Source organism: Homo sapiens, chromosome 18, assembly GCF_000001405.40.
Source record: "Homo sapiens chromosome 18, GRCh38.p14 Primary Assembly".
Lineage (NCBI taxonomy): Eukaryota > Metazoa > Chordata > Mammalia > Primates > Hominidae > Homo > Homo sapiens.
Genome location: NC_000018.10, coordinates 13,710,389 through 13,737,248, shown reverse-complemented (window position 1 = coordinate 13,737,248; position 26,860 = coordinate 13,710,389). Strand labels below are relative to the sequence as shown.

Sequence of the window (26,860 nt, the reverse complement as noted above, 5' to 3'; positions counted from 1 at the left end):
AAAAAAACCCATCTCATGCATAGTCCCAGATATCTTGCAATTTGAGACAATCCTTCTTATTTTCCATTTATCTGACTACAAATTATTCTTTCCCATATCATTATTTATCTTACCAGTACAAACTAGCTTGTTAATTCTTCCTTTTTTCCATTTCAGCAAATCTCCACCTTTACCACATCCCAGGTCCAAAACAGTGATATCACGTTTTTTCTTCTGTCGTACCTTTTCCAAAAATTCTCCTAAAAGAGAGAAATCAGTCACAATAAACTACCTCTTCTTCAATTTTACTGAAGTATAAACTGTTACCTCTAATAACCTACTATCTTTTGCCCAATATGTAACATAAACTATTACACATCCATTTATGTAATTTGTAACTTCTGATAAGTAACTAAAAATATGACTAAGAGTTGATTAATCTGATCCTCTATCATTAAAGAGTACGTGTCTGGTGTTTTGGAAAATAAAGGCAGCATTTTGAATGTTAACTTTCAAAAATGAATTTTAAATAGCAGATATTTAAAATTCTAATATAAGACAACACAACACTTGTTCAGGATGAGAGAAAAAGCTAAGTAAGGATTAGAAAAACTAATTATTCATATTTTTTTTTGTAGCTTTCTCTTTCCATAGCTAGGTGTTTAACAGTAGACACGTAAGTAAATCAAAGTTGTTATGGAATGATAAAAGAGCCTGATTATCAAAGATGTCAGGCTTACCACCAAGAGAAATATAAAAACTAGAAAAAAAAAAAGCACTATGTCTTTTAGTTTTAGCATCATCAGTATTTGGTAGACCCCAGTCTACTAAATGACATTAACAGCCAACAGATAAAATCAGTAGGCAACCAAACATCAATAGGCAAATTGTTCAAACGTCGATTAAAAGCATATTAATATTCTCAGGCAAGTTAAGTATTCAACAGTTCTAAAACTTGATACAATACTGAATCCTAGATACATTCTCCTTGTCTTTATCACTGAGCTGGACACTTTCAGGTGTGTATTATTTTGATGGCTAAAAATATCCTGTACAAGTACTTTCACCTTCTGCAGGAACTTAAAGTAACTTCAACAGAAGCACAAATGTTCCATAATATTTAACTTTCTGCCATGAATCTTAATAGCATAAAAATACTGAAAGAGCGAAAAACAATTATAAAATCTCTGCATTTATATACAGTAAGACTAACGAGAGAGGAAATCATCAAGAAACAATTTCAAAAAAGCCTTTATCACATTCAAGAACTATACTCAACTGTTTACTTACCAAGCTACAAGCACCAAGAAAAAAGAGAAAATGAGTGACAAAGAATGAGTGTTGAGAAAGGAAACAGCCAGAGAGAAAGCTTGGCACAGATCACACTGATTGTATTAGGATGTTAAACACAGGTGCAAAGCACACATCAAGAGAGCTGCTAGAACAGCTGAAAAAGGAAAGAATACCCTGTATATGCCAAGAGACAATTTTGCCAACTCTGACTTCAGTCCTTTAAAAAAAAATACCTCTTTTCTGATTATAGAAATAATACATGTAACAATGTGGAAAATATGGACTCGAAAAAGTTATTCAATAAAAAAATACATGAATAAATAAGTATTCATAAAAAATCCAATAAGTTATCTGCATCATTGAGGGTAATGAAGGAAGAGAAAGGCTGAAAAGAAATTAGGACTGGGGTAGAGAGAGAACCTTGTGAGTAGAGACTGAAAATGCCATTACGTTAATCTTAAAAAAAAAAAAAAAAAGTGAACACTCATTTAGCCTAAGCTGACACATGGCAGAGTCAAATAAATATTTTTGTAACAGAACATGAATGTTAAAAACAAGTGATATACAAAATGTTAAAATGTGTTCAAAGTAAGCCTAGTTAGTTCCTACTGCTAATACTTATCAGATTAGGTAATTTATCTTTGAAAATTAGTAAATTATCATCAAAACTAGTAGGAAGTACCCATAATTAGCACTTTATTCTTTCTAGCATAATTAAGAAAGCATTCTCACTTCTTCTTTGACTGGCTTTAAAAAAATCTTTATTATGAAAAATTTTAAAACAAACCACTTTTTAAAGTTCTCTAAATTTATCTAAGAGTCTACTTAATGCACTAAATATACAGAGCAATAATTATATTCTTTTTTTTACCCTATCTTACGGTGCCGACAAGAATTGTATTCTGAATCATATTTTCTCTGTTCACTTTCATTTTAATTTCAAAGGTGAGTTTCCATAGATAAAATGTTGGCTCAAAAAAGTTGAATGTTTTTATCTATCCTCAATGTAATACACATGATCTTTATCAACTAATTGAAGGCCTAAACAAATCAAGACACTGCCTATTTCTTGACTTAATGAAACCTGAATGTTTAACCAACAATATGCAGTTGCTCCAAAACTATTAGAGTAAAATAGAATCATTACTTAATAGTACTAGGTAACCTTAATTCTGTGCATTAAAAAAAATATTGCCTTCTGAAAACCTGATTAACATAATAATTAAACACTCATTAAAATCTTACACAGTCAACCAAAAGTAAATATTAGAAGAATTTGTCTTCAAGACCTAGTCTTGGCTCTAGCTTTATAAAGTCAAGGTTTGATAATTAAATGAATAGGAATTAAAGACTCAGTAGCTTGGTGTTGGATCATACCAATGAGAACACTTTTCATCCAATTATTAAAGTTTCTTAGGTAAAAAATACGACTTTGACTACGCTTCTCCAAACCAACTTCCTGAAGTTCATTGTAATGGGCAGCCACTGTTGAGCTGTGTCCTTCTTCCAGATTCTGAAAATAAAAGAGAATAGAAAAAAATCAAGGATCAGAACATGGTAAAAATAAGCCTCAGAACATTTGACCTGTGAATGGATAAAATGCTATTAGAATTGGTAAACTTCACTAAACAATGGCAATTAACCACAGAAGTCTCACTAATTATCATTAGACCTAAGATTTGTTTTCTGTGTCCCTGTGTATCAGTCCATTTTAATGTTGCTGCTAAAGACGTACCGGAGACTGGGTAATTTATAAACAAAAAGAGGTTCAATGGACTCACAGTTCCTCGTGGCGGGGGAGGCCTCACAATCATGGTGGAAGGTGAAAGGCAGGTCTTACATGGCGGCAGGCAAGAGACAATGAGAGCCAAGTAAAAGGGGAAACCCCTTATAAAACCATCAGATCTCGTGAGACTTATTCACTACCATGAGAAAAGTATGGGGAACTGCGCCCATGATTCAATTATCTCACATCAGGTCCCTCCCACACATGTGGGAATTATGAGAGCTATAATTCAAGATGAGATCTGGGTAGGGACACACCCAAACCATATCACCTTATTTTGAAAAACATCTCTAGGTTTAAAATTTTCATTGTGATATTTCATCTGCATTAATTTTAGTGTCAATGTCTTAATAAACCCAGTACTCTTCCAGAGTTCTGATTTATTCAGTTCAATAAATGACAGTCAATGTTTGGTGTTTCTACAAAGGAATAAATTAGGAATAAGCTATAATTACATTATTATTATAAAGCTGTTGTGAAAATTAAATAAGATAATGTATATAAAGAGATTAGGCCTGGGTGAGGTGGCTCATACCTATAATCCCAGCACTGTGGGAGGCCCAGGTGGGAGGATCACTTGAAGTCAGGAGTTTGAGACCAGCCTGGCCAACATGGTGAAACCCTATCTCTACTAAAAATACAAAAATTAGCTGGGCATGGTGGTGCACACCTGTAATTCCAGCTACTCAGGAGGCTGAGGCAGGAGAATCGCTTGAACCCAGGAGGTGGAGGTTGCAGTGAGCCGAGATCGGGCCACCGCACTCCAGCATGGGCAACAGAGCGAGACTCTCAAAAAAAAAGAGAGATTAGAATTCAGTAGGCTATGTGCAGCGTTAGTGATTTCTATTATAATAATGCTATTATATATGTTACATGTAACCCAACAGTTTTCAATTTGTGCTTCCTGAGGCCCTAGAAATCCTGTAAAAATGCCATGATAGGTAAAGGGCTTCGGATCCTCCTACCTCCCTTTTCAGCCAAAGTGCTGAATCTCACTGATGTGCTGAAAGGCCTTTCAAACAAATCCTTGACCTATTTTACGTAACAGGTTTAAGTGTAAGATTTTCAGTTGAAAAAGGGGTTCTGGGGCTAGTAAAAGTTTGAAAACTATGTTTAAAATACAAGCTCCCAGCCAGGCGCAGTGGCTCATGCCTGTAATCCCAGCACTTTGGGAGGCTGAGGTGGGCAGATCACAAGGTCAGGAATTCAAGACCAGCCTGGCCAATATGGTGAAATCCCATCTGTACTAAAAAACACAAAAATTAGCCAGGCATGGTGGTGGGCACCTGTAGTCCCAGCTACTCGGGAGGCTGAGGCAGGAGAATCGCTTGAACCCGGGAGGTGGAGGTCCCGGGAGGTGGAGGTTGCAGTGAGCCGAGTTTACACCACTGCACTCTAGCCTAGGAGACAGAGTGAGACTCTGTCTCCAAAAAAAAAAAAAAAAAAAAGGGGGGGCTCCCCTCTGTTACAAGAATTCACATTCCATTGATGACAAAAGCCTCACTATCAGTCACTTTCCTCATAAGGGCCAATGGCAGAATTTTATTTACTCATTAAAGTAATCTTTTCCTCTAACTCCAGATTCTGCCTCAAATTCCTTTCTAATGTGGTACTTCCAGATGAAAACAACTTGCCCTATAATATCTTTGCTAAATATTAGGCATTTGCATTCACTTAACTAAAACAGTATGTAAAATACATTAATAAGAAGCTGAAAACTGTTTAAGGAATTACATTAATAAAGGGATGTAAAGCTAGGTATAATTTTAAAAGTTATCCCTTTAAGTGATAACCTCTGACAAAAAAACTAGAGCTGAACACCTAATAAAAAAGAAAAATAGGTAAATCATTTGGATCTCATACTCTAGTCTTTTTAAAAACGCCGGAGGACTGCTTATGCCCAGGAGGTTGTGGCTGCAGTGAGCTTTGATTACACCATCACACTCCAGCCTGGGCGACAGTGCAAGACTCTGTCTCGGAAAAAAAAGTTTCTAGTTAAATATTCTAAAATAAGATAAACATTATCTCATTAGAAAATAAAAACAAACAAAAACTAAAAAATCTATCTCATTAGCAGGAGATGTTTCACCTTAACAGAAATCATAAGAGTTAAAAGCCTACTTTGTCTTAGGACCATATCTATTAAAAATAGAACATTCTTAAGCTATTATGTAAAAACCAGTATGAATCCACGGGTGTTCCACATTTCAAACTTACATATTCTATTATGAATAAATGAAAATACACTGAACATACTTTCTGCTTTTCAGGAACATCCTCAAGTGCTATTTTTCTCTTATTTTGAGTGCCATCTCCAGTAGAAGATTTATCTTTTGGAACATCCTCAGTTTCTCTTTTTCTTTTCTTTGAATTGCCTTCAGCATCACCACAATCTTTTTCCTCTGGGACAATTTCAGGATCAAGTTTTCTCTTCTTGGATGGAGTGTCTTTCCCACAACTAGAACTTTCCTTTACAAGATCATCTTCAAACTCTTTTCTCTTTCTTGCTATGTCTACTTGCCTACAGACAGAAGTCTTTTCAGAAAGCCCAGTCCCAGAAGCTGTTGTGTTTTCATTAATATTGAATGAAGACTCTGTTTCAGAATTCACTGACGCTTTTGCCTGTTCAAGAGACATCTTTTCATATTCTTCTGCTTTTGCAGAATTTGCCATTTATGATTACTTGAATTGATGGTAAAACTTCATGAACCAACACTAGAATAGGAAAAAAATTGGTATTACTTGTAAACACTAAGACTTTAAAACAATTTTTTTTTTTTTTGAGACGGAGTTTCACTCTTGTCGCCCAGGCTGGAGTGCAATGGCATGATCTCGGCTCACTGCAAGCTCCGCCTCTGGGGTTCAAGTGATTCTCCCGCCTCAGCCTCCCCAGTAGCTGGGATTACAGGCACCTGCCACCACGCCTGGCTAATTTTTTGTATGTTTAGCTGAGACGCGATTTCCCCACGTTGGGCAGGCTGGTCTCTAACTCCTGACCCCAGGTGATCCGCCTGCCTTGGCCTCCCAAAGTGCTGGGATTACAGGCGTAAGCCACTGCGCCTGGCCTAAAATAATTTTAACTAGAATTTGATCAACTAGGAGTTTAAAAAAATCTCATTGTAGAGAGCATATTAAAAAATGTTAACTGATACTATGTATGAATTTCTGAATATGGCAGTACTAATTATAATCCCCCCAAAATTCTATAATCTTATTCATAAAAGTCACTGTTGGCATTAAAGCTGACAAATGAAGTGGCGATACACATGCACTAGTTCCATTTTGGTTCTGATCCTTACTCTATAACCCTGGTTCCCAAACTGCATGGTTGGCACCATAACAAACAGGCACCACAGAACCTAATGTGGAAGATATCACAGAAACTACCAGCTTTAAGTACAGCACAGTTCCAGCTGAATAGATTACACTACATACCTTTCAATGACTTTGTGAAGCTGAGATTTTGGTATCACAGAAAATCAAGGTGAAACAGGAAATGAGGTTGGTGGTGCCTATCTGATTTCGAGGCTTGAAGTTGTACAGTACCCAATAGGTTCACACATCCTGTTAGTAAGGGATTGTGATTAATCAAGAATAAAACAGAAACATTACCTTTCCCCCCAATTTATGTGTGTTAATTTTTTAAACAGACATAAAGTTGTTAGACCATAAATACTTTTAAATTCTTTGGGGTAAACTACTTAATAAATGGAACTGTTATATTTCTTTTGGCCTATGGACACTAAGGGCATCAAGAACAGAAAAAGTTTGGGATTCTACAGCAAGAATTCTGAAATCGTATTTCATAATGGGTGTTCCAATTAGGTAGAAAGTGAAGAGAGTAGAAATGGCTTTAGACAAGTTTCAGGACTCAGCCTGCAGTTTGATGACCATTAAGTCTCTTTCAAATATGTTTTTAGACCTACATTAAGATGGGAAAGCGAGAGAAATAACTGAACTATCTATTGGGCAAGAATTATGGTGGTTCATTTATTAAGCCATTCAACAAATTTAGTGACCTCCTACTATGGAGAAGCTCAATGTAAATCATGTTTTCAAGATGTTTATAGCTTATATACCACTATTAAAATGTTAAGCTTTCGCTGGGCACAGTGGCTCACACCTGTAATCCCACCACTTTGGGGGAACGAGGTGGGCAGACTGCTTGAGCTCTGGAGTTCGAGACCAGGTTGGGCAACATGGCAAAATCCCGTCTCTACAAAAAATAGCTGGGCATGGTGGCACATGCCTTAGTCCCAGTTACTCAGCAGGCTGAAGTAGGAGGATCACCTGAGCCCAGGAGGTCCAGGCTGCAGTGAGCCATGATTGTGCCACTGTACTCCAGCCTAGACAACAAAGTGAGACCCCACTTAAAAAAAAAAAGCTTTTTCATGAAGGAAGTGTTTGTGCTTAAAAAAAAAAGTAAATAAATAAAAAGCCTTTTGGATAATGAAAAAGAATAAGAAATCAAGTTGCTTAAAGGAATGGGTAACAAGTCACTCACTATGAATGGGTAAGGGTTTCAATGGTTATTAGTTTTCATGACCCACCATTTGAGGTAACAAAATACCAAGAAGTACCAAATAGAACTGAATCAGAGAACAACAACAACAAATCAGAAAAGTGATTTTCAGAACAAATACTTAAAATGATTATCTAGAAAAACTGGATACCAACTTATCAAATTCCTATTTCTCCTCCTCTGCCATTGATTTCCTAATGGAAATTGGCTTTAAATTCAAATAAAGAAATGTGACTTATCTTTAGCTATATTTATTACCTAAAATTAATATTGAGATTTAAGCATGAATTTTACTTATGTCACTTTCATGATATCACAGATGTGACATAATAAAAACATAATTAGGTCAGAAGAAATGACACAGCATTCCAGATGACCACAAAAATAAGTAAGAACGTTTAAAACCAAGCATCATGTTTACAGCCAACTTGTTCTCAACAAAGGTGCCAAGAACGTACATAGTGAAAAGACAGTCTCTTCAAAAAACGGTGCTGGGAAATCTAGACCACTCTCTCTCACCATATGCAAAAATCAAATCAAAATGGACTGAAAAATTTAATACCCAAAAGTATGAAACTACTTGAAGAAAACATTGTGGAAATGCTTCAAGACACTGGTCTGGGCAAAGATTTTTGTGGTAAGACCTCAAAAGCACAGGCAACAAAAGCAAAAACAGACAAATGGGATTACATCAAGCTAAAAAACTTCTGCACAGCAAAGGAAACAAGAGTGAAGAGATAACCTAGAGAATGGGAGAAAATATCTGCAAAACCATTCATCTGACGGGATTCACAACCGGAATACAGAAGAAACTCAACTCAATAGCAAAAAAAAAGAAGCAATCCTACTACAAATGGGCAAAAGATCTGAATAGACATTTCTTAAAAGACACACAAATGGCCAACAGGTATATACGTAAAAAATGCTCAATATCAGTAATATCAGGGAAATGCAAGTCAAAACCACAATGAGATACCATCTCATCTCGGTTAAAACGGCTTTTATCAAAAAGATTTTTAAAAAATGGATGCTGAGGCCGTCACGGTGGCTCACACCTGTAATCCCAGCACTTTGGGAGGTGGAGGTGGGCAGATCACTTGAGGTCAGGAGTTCTAGACCAGCCTGGCCAACATAGTGAAACCCCGTCTCTACCAAAAACACAAAAATCAGCCGGGCATGGTGATGTGCGCCTGTAATCCCAGCTACTCGGGAGGCTGAGGCATGAGAATCGCTTGAACCCGGGAGGTGGAGGTTGCAGTGAGCTGAGATCAAGCCACTGCACTCCGGCCTGGGCGACAGAGCAAGGCTCCGTCACACACACACACACACACACACACAAAAAAAAAAAAAAAAAAAAAAAAAAAAAAAGATGCTGATGAGGATGCAGGATGCAGAAAAGGGGGAACACTTGTACACTGTTAGGGAGAACGTAAATTAGCACAGCCACTAATTTACATACTGGGAAAAGTATGATGGAGGTTCTTCAAAAAACAAAAAATAGAACTAGTGCTATTGAGATGAGTTTCTTCTATATTCTGGTTGTTAATCCCCTGTCCGATGAACAGTTTTGCAAATCTGGGTACAGATCCAAAAGAAGGGAAATCAGTATATCTAAGAAATATCTGCAGTCTCAAGTTTATTCACAATAGTCAAGATATGGAATCAACCTAAGCGTTCATCAACAGATGAATAAAGATAATGTAGCATATATACACAATGGAATATTAGTCATTAAAAAGAATGAAATCCTGTCATTTGCAACAACATGGATGAAACCGGATGTCATTATGTTAACTGAAATAAGCCAGGCACATGAAGACAATATCATGTTGTTACTCATGTGGGAGCTAAAAATGTGGACCTGATGGAGGTAAAGAGTGGATTGGTGGTTACCACAGACTGGGAAGGGTAGCAGGAAGAGGAGCGGGATGAAGAAGAGAAATTGGTTAATGGGTACAAAAAACCCCAGAAGAAATAAAATCTAGTGCCTGATAGTACAGTGGGGTGGACACAGTTAACAATAACTTATTGTGTAGTTCAAAATAGCTAAAAGAAAAATTGGAATGTTCCCAACATAAAGATAAATGTTTGAGATGACAAATATCCCAATTGCCCTGATTTAGTCGTTACACATTGTATGCATGTATCAAAGTATCACCTGCACCTGCAAATATGTGCAACTTCTATGTATCAATTTAACAAATTGGGGGAAAAAAAACCCAAACCAAACTCAAAGTGGAATAATGAAAACACTCCATAGGGAAGAGAGCTGTCCCTCAGAATCTTCAAGAAACCTTCGAAAGGTGGTCGACTGACATGGAGATGGACACGCGATAAATAACCACACGAACATTTCGACCCGGCTTTCCAGTCACACCTCCGAAGCAAGCTATGTCTCTGCGTCATTTCAGCTCCTCAGGGTACGAGCGAGCAGGCCGCCAGGGCCGCCGGGATAAAGCCCAAGCGGGATAAGCTCTAAGTCCCGACCCGCCCGCTTGACCCTCTACCACGGGGCCCGAGAGGACGCACAGAGGCGAGAAGGGACTTCTCCAGCCAAGTTCACCCCCTCCGTCATTAGCGCGGCCTGTTACTCAACCTCTGGTTCAGGTTTCCGAAGCGCCGCTGAAGACAAACCTGCGGACCCCACGCCCCTCCCCAGCACGGCCCTGGGGCGCGAGCTGGAGCAGCTCTTCGAGCTGCTTCTCCCACCCGGGCTCGCCCAGTCTGGAGGAGGAACAGCGCCCGCCCACCCCAAGGAGTTCCCATTTTCCTTGGGACTGAGGACACAAGGCAATAGACCCACGCGTTGGGTAGTGAAGCACAGGGCTAATGCGAAGTGAGCCCATGTCAGGGGTGGGAGTGCCAGTTCCACCCCTCCACGGCGGCCGAGGGACAAACACAAAGAAAGGAAGGGCCGGAGTTCCAGCCGTCACACTCACCAGCACAGCCAAACGCGATTCTGTTTGCGGAAACGGCGGCCCGCGCCACGCGTGTCTGCTTACGTCACTTCCGGAGGTGCGAGAGTCACGTGGAGACGGTCAGGCGAGAGTGCCGCGACGCACGTCCTCCGCGCCGGAACTACGAGTCCCGACGTGCCGCGCGCGGCATGCAGAAGCTTCACTGAGCGGGCACTGGAGGTCGCGAGCACGTTGCTAGTGGGCGCGGCTGGCGGGGCCGGGGGCGGCAGGGGGCTAGCGTCCGGCTGAGCCCGGCGGGTTCCTGCACGCGGACCCACGCTTTGTCGGGCTGCTCTGCTGAGTGACACCGCCGTGGCATCCGAGGAGCTGTGGTCCAGCCTGCGCGGCGGGAAGCGGCGGCGGCGGCTCCAGCGTCCTAAGAGGTAGCATGGGCCCAGGCCTCTGTGGGGCAGCGGGAGGGGTCTAGAGGGCACCTTCAACCCTGGGCGTGTGTCCGGGAGCTGACTCGCGGCGCGAACCCGGCAACTGCTCCGCGTGCGCCGCTCTTCGGGCTGTGGCAGTGTACGACTGCCAGACGGGTCGTCCACACTCGCCGACCCCACAGACCCCGGCGGCCGAGAGAGGTCCCCCCGCCCTTCCGGGTCGAGCCAGTGTCCTGGCAAATCTTGCTTTGGGACTGTTTTTCAGCCTCCTTTGCTGTAACCCTTCACCGTGTTCTCCCCCCTTCTTCCGAAGCCAGTTGAAGAGGGGCCCGGAAGCGCCCGCGTTCGGAATGGTTTTTAAAATTAGCAATTTCTTATTAGGGACTGGCAGACTGGTCCTTACCGCCGTGTTTGGGAAGCCACAAGAGGCCATTCTTACCTGTTAGATTCTGAGAAAAGGGACCGCCTATACCTCTTCTTGACAAATACCTAAGGATGCATTAGTCTGCGTTGGCTGAACTTGGCATGGTGTGGTTTGGGGGAGACAACACACTTTTTTTGGCCATCACCCCAGATTTCTACTGGGGAGTGAAAGCGCCTACTGTACTGAAACTCGAAAGCTCCATAGTTGAGGACTTTCAACCTGAGATCAGGGTCAAAACTACCTGTGGATAGATTATTGAAGCGTGTGCATATTAACGTCGTGCGTCAAGTCCCCACCTTCCAAGGTTGTAAAACTGATCAGATTTACAATCCGTCTTGAATTACTCTTTACCAAAATTGATCCATTTAAAACAGCTTTGAAAATGTGCTTTACCAGCCTTCCTTCTTGTCAGTAGGCACAGGTATATTAATGAATAGACCTGGCTTTGGGGAAGGCAGCATTTGCAGCGTTGTGCTTTCCAATCTAATCACTTCTAAATTGTGGGCATTAGCCCATTTGAGGTTACAAACTTTGAACCAAGAATGAGGCCTATTTTTCACAAATAAGGATGACCCATCAATTTCTGATGACTGCTTGTATTTGTTATTATATGAAATGAGGTAAGTTGAGAATTAATCTCATTACATGAATATTGACAACTGCAAAAGTGTAGGTCTTACAGATCGAATGCATTATAGGCATATACAAGCATTAGAACCAGGCAATTACATTCCCTGTTCCTGATGCTTAAGTTTCTTGAGATAATTGCTGTTGTAATTTTACAGAAAATGAGTGTAATTTTGACTTTTAAAAACATGTTTTAATGTTTTTAAACACCGGGTGCAGTGGCTCACTTCTGTAATCCCAGCCGTTGGGAGGCCGAGGCGGTTGGATCACGAGGTCAGGAGTTTGAGACCAGCCTGGCCAACATGGTGAAACCCCGTCTCTACTAAAAATACAAAAATTAGCCAGGCGTGGTGGCGCGTGCCTGTAATCCCAGCTACTCAGGAGGCTGAGGCAGGAGAATCGCTTAAACCCGGAAGGCGGAGGTTGCAGTGAGCCGAGATTGCGCCGTTGCACTCTAGCCTGGGCGACAGAGCGAGACTGTCTCAAAAAAAACTAAACAAAACAAAAAAAGTTATTAGATTAAAAGCCTCTTAACTATGTGTTTATGAAAACTCCACGATGATGGGATATATAGAGATTACATTTTTCAGTTTTTATAAAACTTAACTAGAAGTTGTGTAAATTCATTTGAGAATAGAGGGGAAGGATTCTTGAAAGCAGTTAATGTAAGTAAATGAGCCAGATAAAAATGATTTTAAAGTTACCATTGGTGTTATTTTTCCCTCATTATTGCCTGAGTAATCTCTGGTTTTCTGGACATTAAAATAATAATAGCTAATACTCGAGTACCTTTTAGGTGCCAAGGTTAGTGCTTTATTCATTTGCACTCGTTTAATTCTAACCGAACCCAGTGGTATAGTTATGAGTGTTTGTTTTACAGATGAGGGTTAAGTAACTTGGCCAAGATCATGCAGCTTGTTAAGTAGTGGGATCAAGATTTGGACCCAGGCAGTCTGGCTGATTGACCAGACTCTGCTAATAATGAAACAGTGCTGGCTAGAAGATCATACTCAGAACTGGACGTTGCCTAGCAAATAGTAGATTTTTCAGAAAGTGTTTTGATACTTCTTAATGCCTGGGTTATGATGTCCCGAGAGAAAATAGTTAGATAAGGATGTTATCTTGCTGGAATGTGAGCTCCACCAAGACAAGGAAAGGACCTGCAGGATTTATTTCAACCCATTTGTAAGAAAGTGAGAGTACTTCTCTCAGAGGTATAATTTTAAAGTGTGATTTCTGTTGTAGAGTTGAAGATCATATTTTTGAAACATAGAGATTGTTTTAAAAATGTAGAAACAATGTTATAGTTTCCTAAGATAGTGTTCTGTGAAGAGAGGTGGTTCATGGAAGCTTTGTTCCTCCAAATAGTTTTGGATGAAGGACTTTTCCTCTGTTCCACTCAGGAAAGTGTTCCTACTGAAATTTCATTGTCTTTCTGGAACAAATAAAATATTATTGTTTAAAAGGTTTTTCCTTCAGTTGAAAATAAGATTTTGTTGAGTAATACTGTGTGTGATGATTAGTTTTATTATGTCAGCTTAGCTAGGCTATAATACCTAGTTATTTAATCAGATACTAGTTTGGTTGATGCTATGATGGTATTCTGAAGACGTGGTTAACATCTATAATCAGTTGACCTAAACTAAAGGATATTACCCTAAATAATGTGGGTGGACCTCATTCAATCAATTGAAGGCTAAAAAAGCCAAAACTGAAGTGTCCTGAAGAAGACAGTATTTTCCTCAAGACTGCAGCATCAATTCCTGCCTAAGTTTCCTGTCTGTAGATCTACCCTACACATTTTGAAGTTGCTATCCCCTACAGTTGTGTGAGCCAGTTCCTTAAAATACCAATATCTCTGTATCTGTCTATATGTAGATGAAGATATTTATGTTTTTATCTACATCTATATATTTTTTCCTATCAGTTCTGTATCTCTGTAGAGCCCTGACTGATTCAAATTTGGGTGCTGAGAGTGCTTCTAGTGAGCAGAATCTTAAGGATGAGTTTTCTGAATTGATTATAGTGTTTCTGGAATTGGTTTTCCAAACTGATCAGATTCAAAGGCAGTAATGAGTATTCCCTGTAGAAAAGAGGGCACTGATAGTCCCTGGTGTGATATGGCAACAAAGATATGCAAAAGATCACTATTAGATACTCCCACTCATGCTTATAGACAAGATTCAGAATGATCAGGTATTTGATACCTTAGAACATTTTAATCGAATTAATGAGTACAATAAGATAGGCTGGTTGCTTTTAACTGTACTGGGTAAAGTGAGAAAAGAAAAGGATGATCCCAGCTACTCAGGAGGCTGAGGCAGGAGAATCGCTTGAACCCAGGAGGCGGAGGTTGCAGTGAGCCGAGATTGCACCACTGCACTCCAACCTGAGTGACAGAGTGAGACTGTCTCAAAAAAAAAAAAAAGAAAGGAAAGAAAAGGGGAGCTTAAGGCTTCAAATTCCCGATTGAAGCTCCACATAAGTGACCTGAAAAGTTTCTGTGTCTGCCCTAAAGAAACCCGTATCTCTTGTAGCTACAGAGCTGAGGTTGGTGAAAACCAAATCCAGAGTCTTATCCTGTAGGTGGCTGAATTACAGTGCTAACTGAATTCCCTTCTCACCTTGGTCTGCTATTAAAATGAGGGCATTGATTGGGAAGGAATGGGATCTGCACATTTGGAATAGGGCCATATGGGAACATCCTGATGAAGCTGGGGATGTTAAACTCCTAAATTTGACTCACTCTTTTTTGCCAGTAGAAGCAGTTCTTCCACCTCTGAGGAGGTTAACTCTGCTTTGCCTGAAGAACCTGTAATGACCTCCCTTGAGGTAGTTACCTTGCAAGACATTGCCGGTTTTCCTCAGGAATCCGTGAAGAGCTCTGGGGTTGCTTTTCTCTTCAGGTCAGAGATTGCAGTGGGAGCTGTTGCCACTGACTGGGGGTCCTTAGCTGCAGCAGGGATGGTTGGATCTAGGATGGCAGGGGCTATGTGATCACCAAAGAGTAAGTAGGTGTGTTGCCATCATGGGGGACAGCGGAGTCAAAGCAACAATCTGAACAGCCTGACTTGGGGGTCCTAATTGGGTAGGTGGTCATGGTGTCCCTAGAAGAGAACTCGTTGGGCAGTCTACTGAATTCTGACTTGATCTCTATAAGCAGAAGAGTTCTAGGTCAAGTGAATGGAAGCTTTACTTTAATTACCAAAGAAAGAGTCATGGTCCCTCAATCAGTTCCCAGATTTGAGTCATTTTACAGACTCAGAACCCCCTGACTGAGGGGAGGCTGGATCCTTTTGAGGAAGGACCCCATTGCGCTGCTAAGAATTTATACCGTTAATTTTTTTCTCAGGTTTCCCAAAGGGACCTATGGCTTATCAGGGTAAGTGTGCACTGGAGAAGAGGAAATAATTAGACTTCTCACAGATTACTGAACTCTTAAGTCTGAACTGACACTAATTCCAGGACACTCAAAGTGTCATTTTGGCCCGCCATTCAGAGTAGGGACTTGTTGAGGTTAGGTGGTCAATGGAAGTTTAACCCAGGTTCTCCTCACAGTGGGTCCCCATATTCATCCTATGGTTACTTTGCCAGTTCCAGGATGCATAACTGGTATAGACATACTCAGCAACTGGCAGAATCCCCACACTGGTTCCCCGACTTGTGGAGTGAGGGCGATCGTGGTAGGAAAGGCCAAGTAGAAGCCACTAGAGCTGCCTCTTCCTGGAATAATAGTAAGCCAAAAGCAATACCGCATTCCAGGAGGAATTGCAGAGATGAGTGCACTTAAGGATGCAGGGGTGATGATTCCTGACATATTCGCATTCAACCCTCCTGTTTGGCCTGTGCAGAAAACAGATTGATCTTGGAAAATGACAGTGGATTATCATAAACTTAACTGAGTAGTGACTAATTGCAGCTGCTGTTCCAGATGTCATTTCATTACTTGAGAACCTATCCCCTAGTAACTGGCATGCAGTTATTGATCTGCTGAGTGCTTTGTCTTAGTATCTGTTAGTAAAGATCACCAAAAGCAGTTTTCTTTCAACTAACAAAGCCAAAAATACACCTTCACTGTCCTACCTCGGGAATGTCAACTTTCCAACACTATGTCATAACAAGATCTCTGTGATCTTGTTATGAGTTGAATTGTGTCTTCTAAAAATTTATGTATTGGATTCCTAGCCCTTAGTACCTCAGGGTATGACCTTATTTGGGAATAGGGTAGTTAAAAATGTAATTAGATAAGATGAGGTCATACTGGAGTAGGCTGGGCCCCTAATCCAACACAACTGGTGTCCTTATAAACAGGAGGAATTTGAACACAGACATTCACACAGGGAGAATGCCATATGAAACTGAAGTAGAGGAACACCAAGAAATGTCACACATTTCCAGCAAACCATCAGGAGCAAGGGGGTAGGCATGAAACAGATTCTTCTTCACCCCCTTTGAAGGAACAAACCCTACTGACACCTTGATCTTGGACTTCTAACCCCAGAGCTGGAGACAGTACATTTCTGTTTTGTAAGCTCCTCAGTTTGTGGTTCTCTATTACAGCAGCTGTAGCAAACAAATAGAGACCCTGATTGTGCTTCCCTTCCACAAAACATCATACTGGCCCATCACATTGATGACATTATGCTGATTGGACCTGGTGGGCAAGAAGAAACAACTACTCTAGACTTACTGGTATGACATTTGCATGTCAGAGGGTGGGAAATCCAACAAATATTCAGGGGCCTTCCACCTGTGAAATTTCTAGGGGTCCACTGGAGTAGTGTAGGGCATGTTCCCACCTATAACAAAAAGAGAAGCAAGGTTTAGTGGGCCTCTTTGGATTTTGGAGATGACAAATTCCTCATTTGGGTGTGCTACTTCAGGTTGTTTACTGAGTGACCTAAAATACTGCTAGTTTTGAGTGGATCCCAGAACAAAAGGCGCCTCTACAACAGGTACAGGCTGCTGTGCAAACTGCTCTGCCACTCAGGCCATATGACCCAGCAGATCTTCTGGTGCTTGAAATGTCAGTGGCAGATTGAAATGCTGTTAGGAACCTTTTGCAGGCCCTATAGGAGATACAGTGTAGAACCTTAGGATTTTGGAGCAAAGCCTTTCCATCCTTTGCAGGTAACTGCTCTTTTAAGAAACAGCTTTTGGGCTTGCTACTGGGCTTAATAGAAACTCTACGCTTAACCGTGGGCCACCAAGTTATGCAACCTGACTAGAAAAATGACTAGAATATTTCAGCAGTTAAGAGCACAAGCAGATGGCATGTGTTCAAATCCTGGTTATGTTATATTTACTAAGCATGTCATCCTTGAGTAAGTGGCCAAACTTTGTGTTTTGATTTCCTCATGGAGCGATTTTATAGAATAAATGAGATGATACAGTGCTTAGCACAGAACCTGCTAATTTTTAGCTTCTCTTAACACAACTGAAACTGCTACTGCAATGTCTTGTGAAGTCATTAGTCCATGCCTTTAAATGTGATTGTAGAATTTTTTTGCCTTGGTACAGCAGAAAAAATAGAGTGATTTTTTTTTTTTTTAATTCATGTAAACCAGAGCAGAAGTTTGAAATAGTGAACAGTCTTGTAGGCATTATGTGCTTTCAGGTTCTGAGTTTATTACTTCTGAGAATTAACCATAGTAGCAGTGGTCTATGACCTCTGTGGGTGAAAGGGTGGCTGGGCTTTAAGCATGTGCAGCAGTGGGCAAAGAATGGAGGTGAGGGAAGAGGCATCAGACATTAGGAAGGGATCCTCCCGGAGAAGTGGAGGTGGGTGGTTAGATTTTGTGGGTGCCAATGGCAAGATGAGTCCTATTAGAAAGTCTCATTGATAAGAAAAAATTGTTTTCAAGGCAGACTTAAAAATTAGGGCTTCCCCATTTTTACTTACTTCTTCTACATTGCCTTTGTAACTTCTTGGACGTGATAAATTGAATTAAACGTGGTATTTTATTTGGATTTCTTGATTTTTAATGTAAGCATGAATTATAGTAACTCTTCCTTGCTATCTGAAATACTGCAATTCTTGTTCTAGTTAAGCTGCATTGTAATTTGACTCATTTCTTAAAATTAGAGGAATTAGATAAACAGTGATGGGTTTGCAATGTAGTGTTTGCCAAATGAATGTCATATATAATGTTAAGAAAAATTTTATTTGTGTGGCACACTTTATAAAATAAAGCAGACCTATGTCAAGTTCTAAATGCAAATTTTTATTTTACTTTTCTTGCCATCTTCATCACTGTAAATGCAAGTTTTTAAAAAGATATTTTAAAATTGGACCCAGAATACAAGAGCTCTTTATTGCAACAATGGCTTCTGGTACTCTGATGATCAAATGACATTTTCTGAAATATGCTTGATACAGTAAACACTGACAAAACTAGTTAACCCCACAGAGAAGGTTACTAGTATTTTTCACCAAAGCCAAGCTGAAACAGGTTCTATTGCGATTTACTTGGTGTAAAATATATGTATAATTTCTCATATGTCTTTTTTTGGTTTAACAAACATAGTCCTTATTCATCAAGTAAATTCCTATTGCTAAGCATGTTTTAGTTAACTAGTAACAATAAATTTATGTTAAAACTGATTTTCATGATAGAAGATAGAAATGAAATTTATATAGTTTGGCTCTCAATCCTTTATTTTCAGGGAAAAGACACAATTTATACATATGAGCAATTTGTGAAGATGTGGGAAATTCACTAGATTAGCAGTTCTTTTTTCTTTTTTTTTTGGCCTTTAATCAGCTATGTGATCAGGAACAAGTTATGAACTATTACATGTCCTTGCATTCTTTATCTGTAAACATAAAGGATGATACTAAGGGGCCTCTCAGTTTCCTTCCAACTCTTAACATTCTGTAGTTCTAATGCAGACAACTATGACTAAACCTAAGGTTGCTGCTTTTATACAGTTGTACTCAGGTTCTGTGTGGCCTTCCATTTTTGTAGTCCCTGTAACAAAGACTTTGAGAAGGTAAAAATAATCCTTACTCATGCAGTGGGAAGGTTTCTTAAGGAGAGTAGGCTTGTATTTTCTGTTGCTGTGTAACAAATTACCCCCACATTTAGCAACTTAAAACAACACAGGTTTATTGTCTCACAGTTTTTCTGGGTCAGGAGTATGGGCACATCTTAGCTGGTTTGCTGCTTAGCATCTCAAAGTGTCAAGCAGGCTGCATTCTCATCTGGAGGTTCAACTGTGGAAGAATCTGTTTGCAAACTCATTGAGGTTGTAGGCAGAGTTCATCTTTTGTGCCTATATGAGTGAGGGCGCTGTCTTCTTCCTGTTGACTGGTGGCTTCCCTCAGGGACTAGAGGCTGTTCCCCGTATGCGGCCCTGTCCGTAGGCAGTTCATCATACGGTACCTTGTTTCCTTGAGGCCAGCAGAAAACTCTGTCTCCAGTCTGCTAAGATGAAGTCCTTTCCATCTTTTCTACCATTTAGTCTACTATACCATAAGTCTTTTCTCGAGCCTGTTAGACTGCTTTTTAAACCTGACATTCTGGTGCATTGGGCCCTTGCAGTTTTCATGCAAGTTGATTAACCTTTATGTTACCAAATGACTCACTGGAGTATGCTTTTTGCTCTCTAATCCATAATTCAAAATGTATCTTCCTCTTATTCACTTCTCTGTACTTTATTTTTTTGGCAGACTTTTGATAGTAGATTTCTAAACATTCTGTATTTTTCCTTTCTTTTCACAGTCTGTCATGCAGCTGACCAACGTAAGTCCAAAGTGCTTTAGAATTCGAGTAATTCTGCAAACCCTGCTTTGTAGTTAGCGGTGCAGTGGTGAAGTTCAAAACTTAGACTTGGGCTGGGCACAGTGGGTCACACCTGTAATCCCAGCACTTTGGGAGGCTAGGGTGGGAAGATCACTTGAGCCCAGGAGTTCGAGACTAGCCTGGGCAACAGAGTGACACTCTGTCTCTAAAAAACAAACAAAGAACTTAGACTTGAATGTAGGTGACAGGTGGCACTAATCTCGGGCACTAATCTCTAGTTCAAAATGATCCTTTATCAGTTCAAGTATGAAAGACTTCATATAGTAAACATTGCTTGGGGGGATTAACATATAATGTAAGAAAGGGCAGATGGTATTTCCTGCATTCTGGAGAGCCTTAAGAGGATTGGATGCTCTCTATCCACCCCAGCCTTGCTTCATCAGTAAGCTGCTTTCAGCTGCAAGTAACAGAAACTGGATTCAAGTTGGCATTAACAATAAAGAGGGACATAGTAACAAGAAGTCCGCAAACAGAGCACACTCCAGTGCCTCAGTTCAGAGCTCCCGCTCTGCCTTGTCCATGTCAGCTTTGTCCTTAGGCGGGCTCCCTGTGTTAGTCCATTCTCACACTGCTGTAAAAATACTACCTGAGACTGGGTAATTTATAAACAAAAGAGGTTTAATTGACTCACAGTTCAGCATGGCTGGAGAGGCCTCAGGAAACTTCCAATCATAGTGGAAGGCAAAGGGGAAGCAGGCACCTTCTTCACAAGGCAGCAACAGGAGGCAGGGAGAGGGCACAGGGGAGAGTACCATTTTTAAAACCATCAGATCTCGTGAGAACTCCCTATCATGAGATCAGCAAGGGGGAAACTGCCCCCTGATCCAATTACTCCCACCAGGTCCATCGCTTAACACGTGGGGATTACAATTTGAGATGAGATTTGAGTGGGGACACAGAGCCAAACTATGTCCCTTTAAGGTTACAGAGTGGCTGCTGGAACCCCCAGAATCCATATGTTTCCTTGCTCACCCCCAGTTTAGGAGAGAGAATTAGGTCCCCAAACCATGGAATGTAAGTTCTCAAAATCCTTAGACTCCCCTAAGTCACATGCCCATCCCTGGACCAATAACAGTCAGCCAGCCACACAATGCTATGAGCCCTGTCCTTTTGATCGGGATCCATCATTGGAGCTGGGGGCTCTGGTAGACAGCTACCTGAGCAGAACAGGGCCTCTGAAGAGGGAAGAGGGGAGAGGATGCTTAGTAGGCAGCCAACACTTTCCATTACCTTATCTAACCAGTAATTTAGTTAACACTGTTTTATCTATTGTTCTTTTTTGTAACTAGACAATCTTAAAGTGGAAGTCTTTCTGTATACTATGAAGCCATGTTGTCTAATACAGTAGCCATCAGCCACTTGTTACTATTGTATTGTAACTTAAAGTAATTAAAATTAAAATAGAAAAATTAGTACTTAAGTCACACTAGTTACACTTCGGGTGTTGAGTAGGCAGCTGTGTGTAGTGGCTACCTTATTGAACAGCACAGATATAGAACATTTTCATCATTTCAGAAAAATCTGTTGAACAGAGCTGCTCTAAATTGTTTCAGGTAAAGTTTTTGTGTAAGCATTGAGCCACAGTAGAAACAAGGATAGCACCTACTTTACTAGGTTTTCATCTTATGTTGGGGATTATAGGATCTGAAATTTAGCCGAAATGGGAAATAGGAATTCATTCATGTTGAGGTGATTGAATATAATGTTTGATACTACTTAGGACTTAAAAATATCAGAGCTGTTTTTAAAAATATACTTTTTTCCATTAAGAAAGTACAAATTATTTTTTGTTGTGTAATAACTCTGTGCAAGTTTGGTGATATCTTGAAGTTCAGAATATGGAAAATGTTGTAATGTGAACAACTTTATGTGGTGGTAACATACCCATGATAATGAATCTCACAGTATAATGAAAGTGACTGCCCAGTTTGTCATTCTAGTAGAGTATGCTAAACTTTTCAGGGAATGTAGACGAATATGTATTAGTGCAATCACAGATGTGCTTGATATAATCCTGTCTCCACTATTCTGAGGCCGTATCTGTCAAACCAGAATTAGGGCTAAAGAATTATTATATTAAGTATCTTAAAAATAGTTATGTCCCCCTGTAGTCTCAGCTAGTGGGAAGGTGGGAGGATCACTTGAGCCCAGGAGTTCTGGGCTGTAGTGTGCAGTGCTGATCAGGCGTCTGCACTAAGTTCGGTATCAATATGGTGACCTCCCTGGAGCAGAGGACCACCAGAGTGCCTAAAGAGAGGTGAACTAGCCCAGTCTAGAAACTGAGCAGGTCAAAACTTTCATCTGATCAGTAGTGGGATCACACGTGTGAATAGCCACTGTACTCCCAGCTTGGGCAAAATAGCAAGACCCTGTCTCTGAAAAAATAAATAAATATTTATGTATAAGATTATATATATATGTACATTATATAACTAGGTTATTGGACATGTGCATATATATATATATCCAGTAACCAATATATCTTCACTAACCTAGTAATACTACTCCTAGGAATTTCTTGAAGAACTTAAAATATGGACAAAAATGTTATACATGAGGACGCTATTCATAGTGCATTAAAACTGGGGACAATCTAAGCTTCTAAGAGTAAGAGAATAACCAAATCAATTATGGGGTGTTAAATCCCCCAAGATAATGAATTATTTCTTATCCAGCTGTTCAGACTCATATTTTTGTAGCTCTTTAATGGTGTATGCATAAGGTGATGGTAAAGAATGCAAAATTACATGTAATACAGAAAGCAGTAATCCAGGATCTAAATTAAGTTCCTGTAGTTCTCAACTGGCTCCTGTGTACAAAATCCAAGGTCAAAGAAGACTGAATAGCCAGATAATTGTTTTGAGCAGATTTCTCTATAAAGTAAAATACAGTTTCAGAAGCAACTGAGTTCACTTTATGCATCTTGCTGTATATTAACCTGCTTTTATCATATCACTTTCTTGCTCAAAACTTCAGTTACTCCTTAGGAATTAAAAAATCCTCTAGAATTCCAGCCTCATTTCTCATTACCCTGAAAAGGCCCATCTTTACATATTGACACTCTGTGCCTTTCCAAGTACCATTTCCACTTTAACCTAGAATGACTTTCCATCTTCTTTTCCAATGCTCTGAAGTTTTTCTTTCGAAGGTATCCTGCAGCCTTCAACTGACCACTGTAGTTCAGTTAGCCTTTTCTTTATTCCCCTAATACATAGTATGTTTATAAACTTGTAACTCATGTCTGACATGTCTCCTATCTTGGAATATTTAATTACCCGTTTATAACTAGATTGTAAACTACTTAAAGACAGTGAAAACACATATTATACTAATTTGTTCTAGGTGCCAAAAGGGTTACAGTTCTGTGTAATGTCCACCCTTTGGTAGGGGGTCAGTGAAAAGCTCCACTGTTAAGTTCTTTTGTAACTGTTTTACGTTAGTAGATTTTAGGTACTCTGAAGATATAGAAGAAAATCCCCTGGTTCGTACCCCTGGAGGAGTTATAATTTAGTTGAGAAAACTAAGAGTTAAATTTCCGGGAGTAATGTTGGGCAACTGGGAGATGCTTAGTAAATATTTCAGGCCAGGAGCTGTGTGGTATGCTACCTGAGAGGCAGAGGCAGGAGGATCGCTTGAGTCAGGTGTCAGAGGTTTTGATGAGCTATGATTGTGCCACTGCACTACAGCCTAAGTGACAGAGCAAGACCCTGTCTCTAAACGTGTGTGTGTGTGTGTGTGTGTGTGTGTTTTATAGTGACATACTTCCCCGCTACTAATCACGGAAGCAGTGGAAGATGGAATGACTGTAGAGGAATCATTGTCCTTTCACTGTGATGATAGGAAAGAGGTGGAGCTGCTTCCTCTGTCCTCAGACATCGTTTGATGGTCTGTGCTCACTCACCAGGCATTACCTTCAGAAACTGCAAATATATTTTTGTTAATTCACATGTTTAAATGTATTCAGGATTATTTATGTATGTGTACACATGGGGTGATTTTAGTATTGGTGTGAATTTTACCTAGTTTAAGAAGTACTCTGAAGGTTGAGAGATTTTAAATCAGTAGTAAGGAAGAGGAGGACTAAGAATAGAAGAAATATATCATGCTAACTTGGACAAAAGGCCATAAAGGATGAGAGTGGCAGAACATAAAATCTTATCTCAGGTATGGAAATTGTAAGTTATGTTGTTAAGTTATGTTGAATTTGTGTATCAACATACAAACATACATTCTAGACTTAGGCAAGAACAGCAAAAGTTAATTTATGCTTTAAGGAGAAGGTAATGGTTTTAACATCAAAAAAGTTAAATTTTTTATTGGTAAAAAAAGTTGTGCTGTAAGGAAAGAGGCCTTCTTATAGATGTATAGTTCAAACTTGTAAGTAGAGATAAGAGTATCTCCAAGTCATCCCTTCAGGATCTGAGCATCTTAGCTGTTAACATCTCCGGGGTTTGTAACAACGAAAGATAGAGCTGGGCTGGAGGAAAGCCAGGGCGGCAAATGAGCTACTTCAGTAGGTGACCTGTCTGTTCCAAGTCCACAAGCACTATCTGTCCTTTTTCAGGTTAGCACACTGCTATCAGTCTTTGTATACTGCAGCTTTCATGTTTTGAAGTACTTAGTTTTGAGTCCTTCTATCGATGGAATTTCTCAGGAAGGATATGTGGTGTCTGAGTCCGTTCAGGCTGCTGTAGCAAAATACTGTAAACTGGGTGGCTCATAAACAGTGGAAATTTATTTTTCATGGTTCTGGAGGCAGGAAAGTCTAAGAGCAAGGTACTGGCAGATAAAGGTGTTTGGTGTGGGCCCACTTGCTGGCTCACAGACAGCCCTCTTTTCACTGTAACCTCGCATGATAGAGGGTCCATGAGCTCTCTTGAGTCTCTTTTTATAAGGTCGCTATTCTCATTCAGGAATGCTCTGCCCTCATGACCTAATCACCTCCCCGAAAGCCCTACCTCCTAATGTCATAATTTGGAGGTTAGGACTTCCTATGTGGAGGGACACAAATATTCAGATCATAGCATGTGTGCAGGATTTAGGAGCTTTTAAATATTTGAAAATGTCTTTAACATGACTGTCAAATTGAATTTTCTTACAATTTTTAGGTCACATGCTTTTCTCTTTAAGTTCTGCATTAATTGCTCTGTTGTTTTCTGGTTCGTAATAAAGCTGAAAAGTCTAAGGCCAGCATGATAGTTAGGTCTATGAAGACAAGCTGTTTTTCCCTGTGTCTTAATAGTATATTTTTCTTATAATTTAAACAAGTTCATGTAAGGAATTTAATTTGCCTTAAACATATTGAACCTGTTGATTTTGCAGTCTGGGGTCTTTTCACCATTATTTTTCTAATTGTAGTTTTAGAAACCTAAGATCTCTTTTGAATCTGTGTATTTGTGAACTTTTTTTTGTCATTTTCATCTTCTTGACCAATTTCTCTTTATTCTTACACAGCTTCTCTAGTTTGCACAGTACTCTCCACAGTACCGATTTTAGGAGACTTGATAAATTGCTGAGTACAAGGGAATAGGAAGATCCTTGGCTGAATTTGATACAGCTTTTTGTCTTGGACAACTTGGGCTCCAAAGGAGGCACATATTTGGGGAGTGGGAGGAAGAGGTAGTCATTGAGTACCATGTAGGATCTTTTGTGTCCCAGATACAAAAGATGTTGAGCAATCCAGGTGGATGCTGAGAGTCAGAAAAAAATCTGGACAGGAAACATAAATTGGGGTTCATCACCTAATGGATATAAAAGTTATTGCCCAGATAAAATGTATAGAGCCTGCATTCAGATTTAAGAGAAAAAGGAGTCTATTACCAAGACCAGGAAGGAAGCTCCATGATAAGAAAAGCAGAAGAAAGGAGCTGGAGTTATAGAAAGGAAAGTCTGAAAGACTTTGAACAAGTAGGATGCAAGTAGTGAGGGTAATTATGTGTAACAGAATGAAAGGCCCAAAAGGTATCAATAGAAGCTCCTTGCTGATTTTAATAGGAGCATTTTGGTATGGGAGGTAGTGAAAAAGAGAAGGCTGGTTTTTTTGTTTTGTTTATTTTGTTTTTTGATTGGGGGGGTTGTTTTTTGTTTGTTTTTGTTTTATTTTTGAGATTGAGCCTGTCTGTTCCCCAGGCCGGAGTGCAGTGGCACAATCCTGGCTCACTGCAACTTCTGCCTCCTGGGTTCAAGGGATTCTCCTGCCTCAGCCTCCCAAGAAGCTGGGATTACAGGCACCCACCACGATGCCCGGCTAATTTTTGTATTTTTAGTAGAGACAGGGTTTCATCATGTTGGTAGACTGGTCTCGAACTCCTGACCTCAGGTGATCTGCCTGCCTTGGCCTCCCAAAGTGTTGAGATTACAGGCGTGAGCCTCCGTGCCAGGCCAAGGCTGTTGTTTTAAGACACTTCGCTGGTAACAGGAAGAAGAAAAATTGGGCAAACATCACATAAAGACCTACTTTCTTGATGGCATATCTATACAACAATGAAGGAAAGAAGCCAGTAGTGTAATTGCCCAGTGGGTTCTTCCTGCCCACTGCATGGAAAACAGTTTCCTGAGACTGTGCTATTTGAGTACACAAAGAGTTTTATTAATGTCATGCTGGCCATACAGGAGATAGAGTTATTACTCAAATCATTCTCCCTGAAGGCTCAGAGGTTAGGGTTTTTCAAGGATAGTTTGGTGGGCAGAAGACTAGGGGATGGGTGCTGCTGATTGCTTTGAGGATGAAATCATAGGGTGTGGAAAACGGTCTTTGTGTGCCCAGCCTGTCTCTGGATGGGGGCAGTAGGACTGGTTGAGTCATGAGTCACAAGTCCAGGTGGAGTCAGTATAAAAAATATTTAGGAAGACCAATCTTAGGTTGTACAATAATGATGTTATCCATAGAAACCATTAGGGAAGTCACACATCTTGTGACCGCTGGCCCCGTGACTGCTGAACCCCATGACTCATGAAGTAAGGGATTATAGAAACTATGCCTACATTTAGGCCGGGCACGGTAGCTCATGCCTGTAATCCCGGCACTCTGAGAGGCTGAGGTGAGCAGATCACCTGAGCTCAGGAGTTCAAGACCAGCCTGGGC

At 40.2% G+C, this 26,860-nt stretch overlaps 2 protein-coding genes and 1 pseudogene across 15 annotated transcripts in view, besides 1 other annotated feature; 2 read left to right on the top strand and 1 right to left on the bottom strand.

Annotated features, from left to right (window-relative positions):
• Positions 1 to 10,576, bottom strand: part of RNMT (RNA guanine-7 methyltransferase) — a 37,884-nt gene extending 27,308 nt beyond the window's left edge. For 4 of the 12 annotated variants that reach the window (NR_165427.1, XM_011525749.3, NM_003799.3 and 1 more), the window contains exons 1-5: positions 10,520 to 10,576; positions 6,494 to 6,622; positions 5,315 to 5,773; positions 2,650 to 2,785; positions 114 to 239 (exon numbers count right to left, since the gene is read on the bottom strand). Coding sequence is in view for 11 of the 12 variants with exons in the window: in XM_011525749.3 (XP_011524051.1) it covers positions 114 to 239; positions 2,650 to 2,785; positions 5,315 to 5,731 (679 nt within the window). In the remaining variant the exon portion in view is untranslated. Of the gene's footprint in view, positions 1 to 113; positions 240 to 2,649; positions 2,786 to 5,314; positions 5,774 to 6,493; positions 6,623 to 10,383 lie in introns of all 12 variants that reach the window. The other 8 variants (XM_047437908.1, XM_047437907.1, XM_011525750.3 and 5 more) reach the window with 3 other exon arrangements.
• Positions 10,588 to 11,513: an enhancer, noted in NCBI's record as "H3K27ac hESC enhancer chr18:13725735-13726660 (GRCh37/hg19 assembly coordinates)". NCBI's record gives its function as "activates a minimal SCP1, AML or CMV promoter by ChIP-STARR-seq in primed H9 embryonic stem cells {active_cell/tissue: H9 hESC(primed)}" and the evidence as "EXISTENCE:reporter gene assay evidence [ECO:0000049][PMID:30033119]".
• FAM210A (family with sequence similarity 210 member A) overlaps positions 10,691 to 26,860 on the top strand; it is a 63,212-nt gene continuing 47,042 nt past the window's right edge. For 2 of the 3 annotated variants that reach the window (NM_152352.4, NM_001098801.2), the window contains exon 1: positions 10,691 to 10,920. The gene's annotated coding sequence lies outside the window, so the exon portion shown is untranslated. Of the gene's footprint in view, positions 11,965 to 26,860 lie in introns of all 3 variants that reach the window. The other variant, XM_024451083.2, reaches the window with a different exon arrangement.
• Positions 21,881 to 22,147, top strand: RN7SL362P (RNA, 7SL, cytoplasmic 362, pseudogene; annotated as a pseudogene).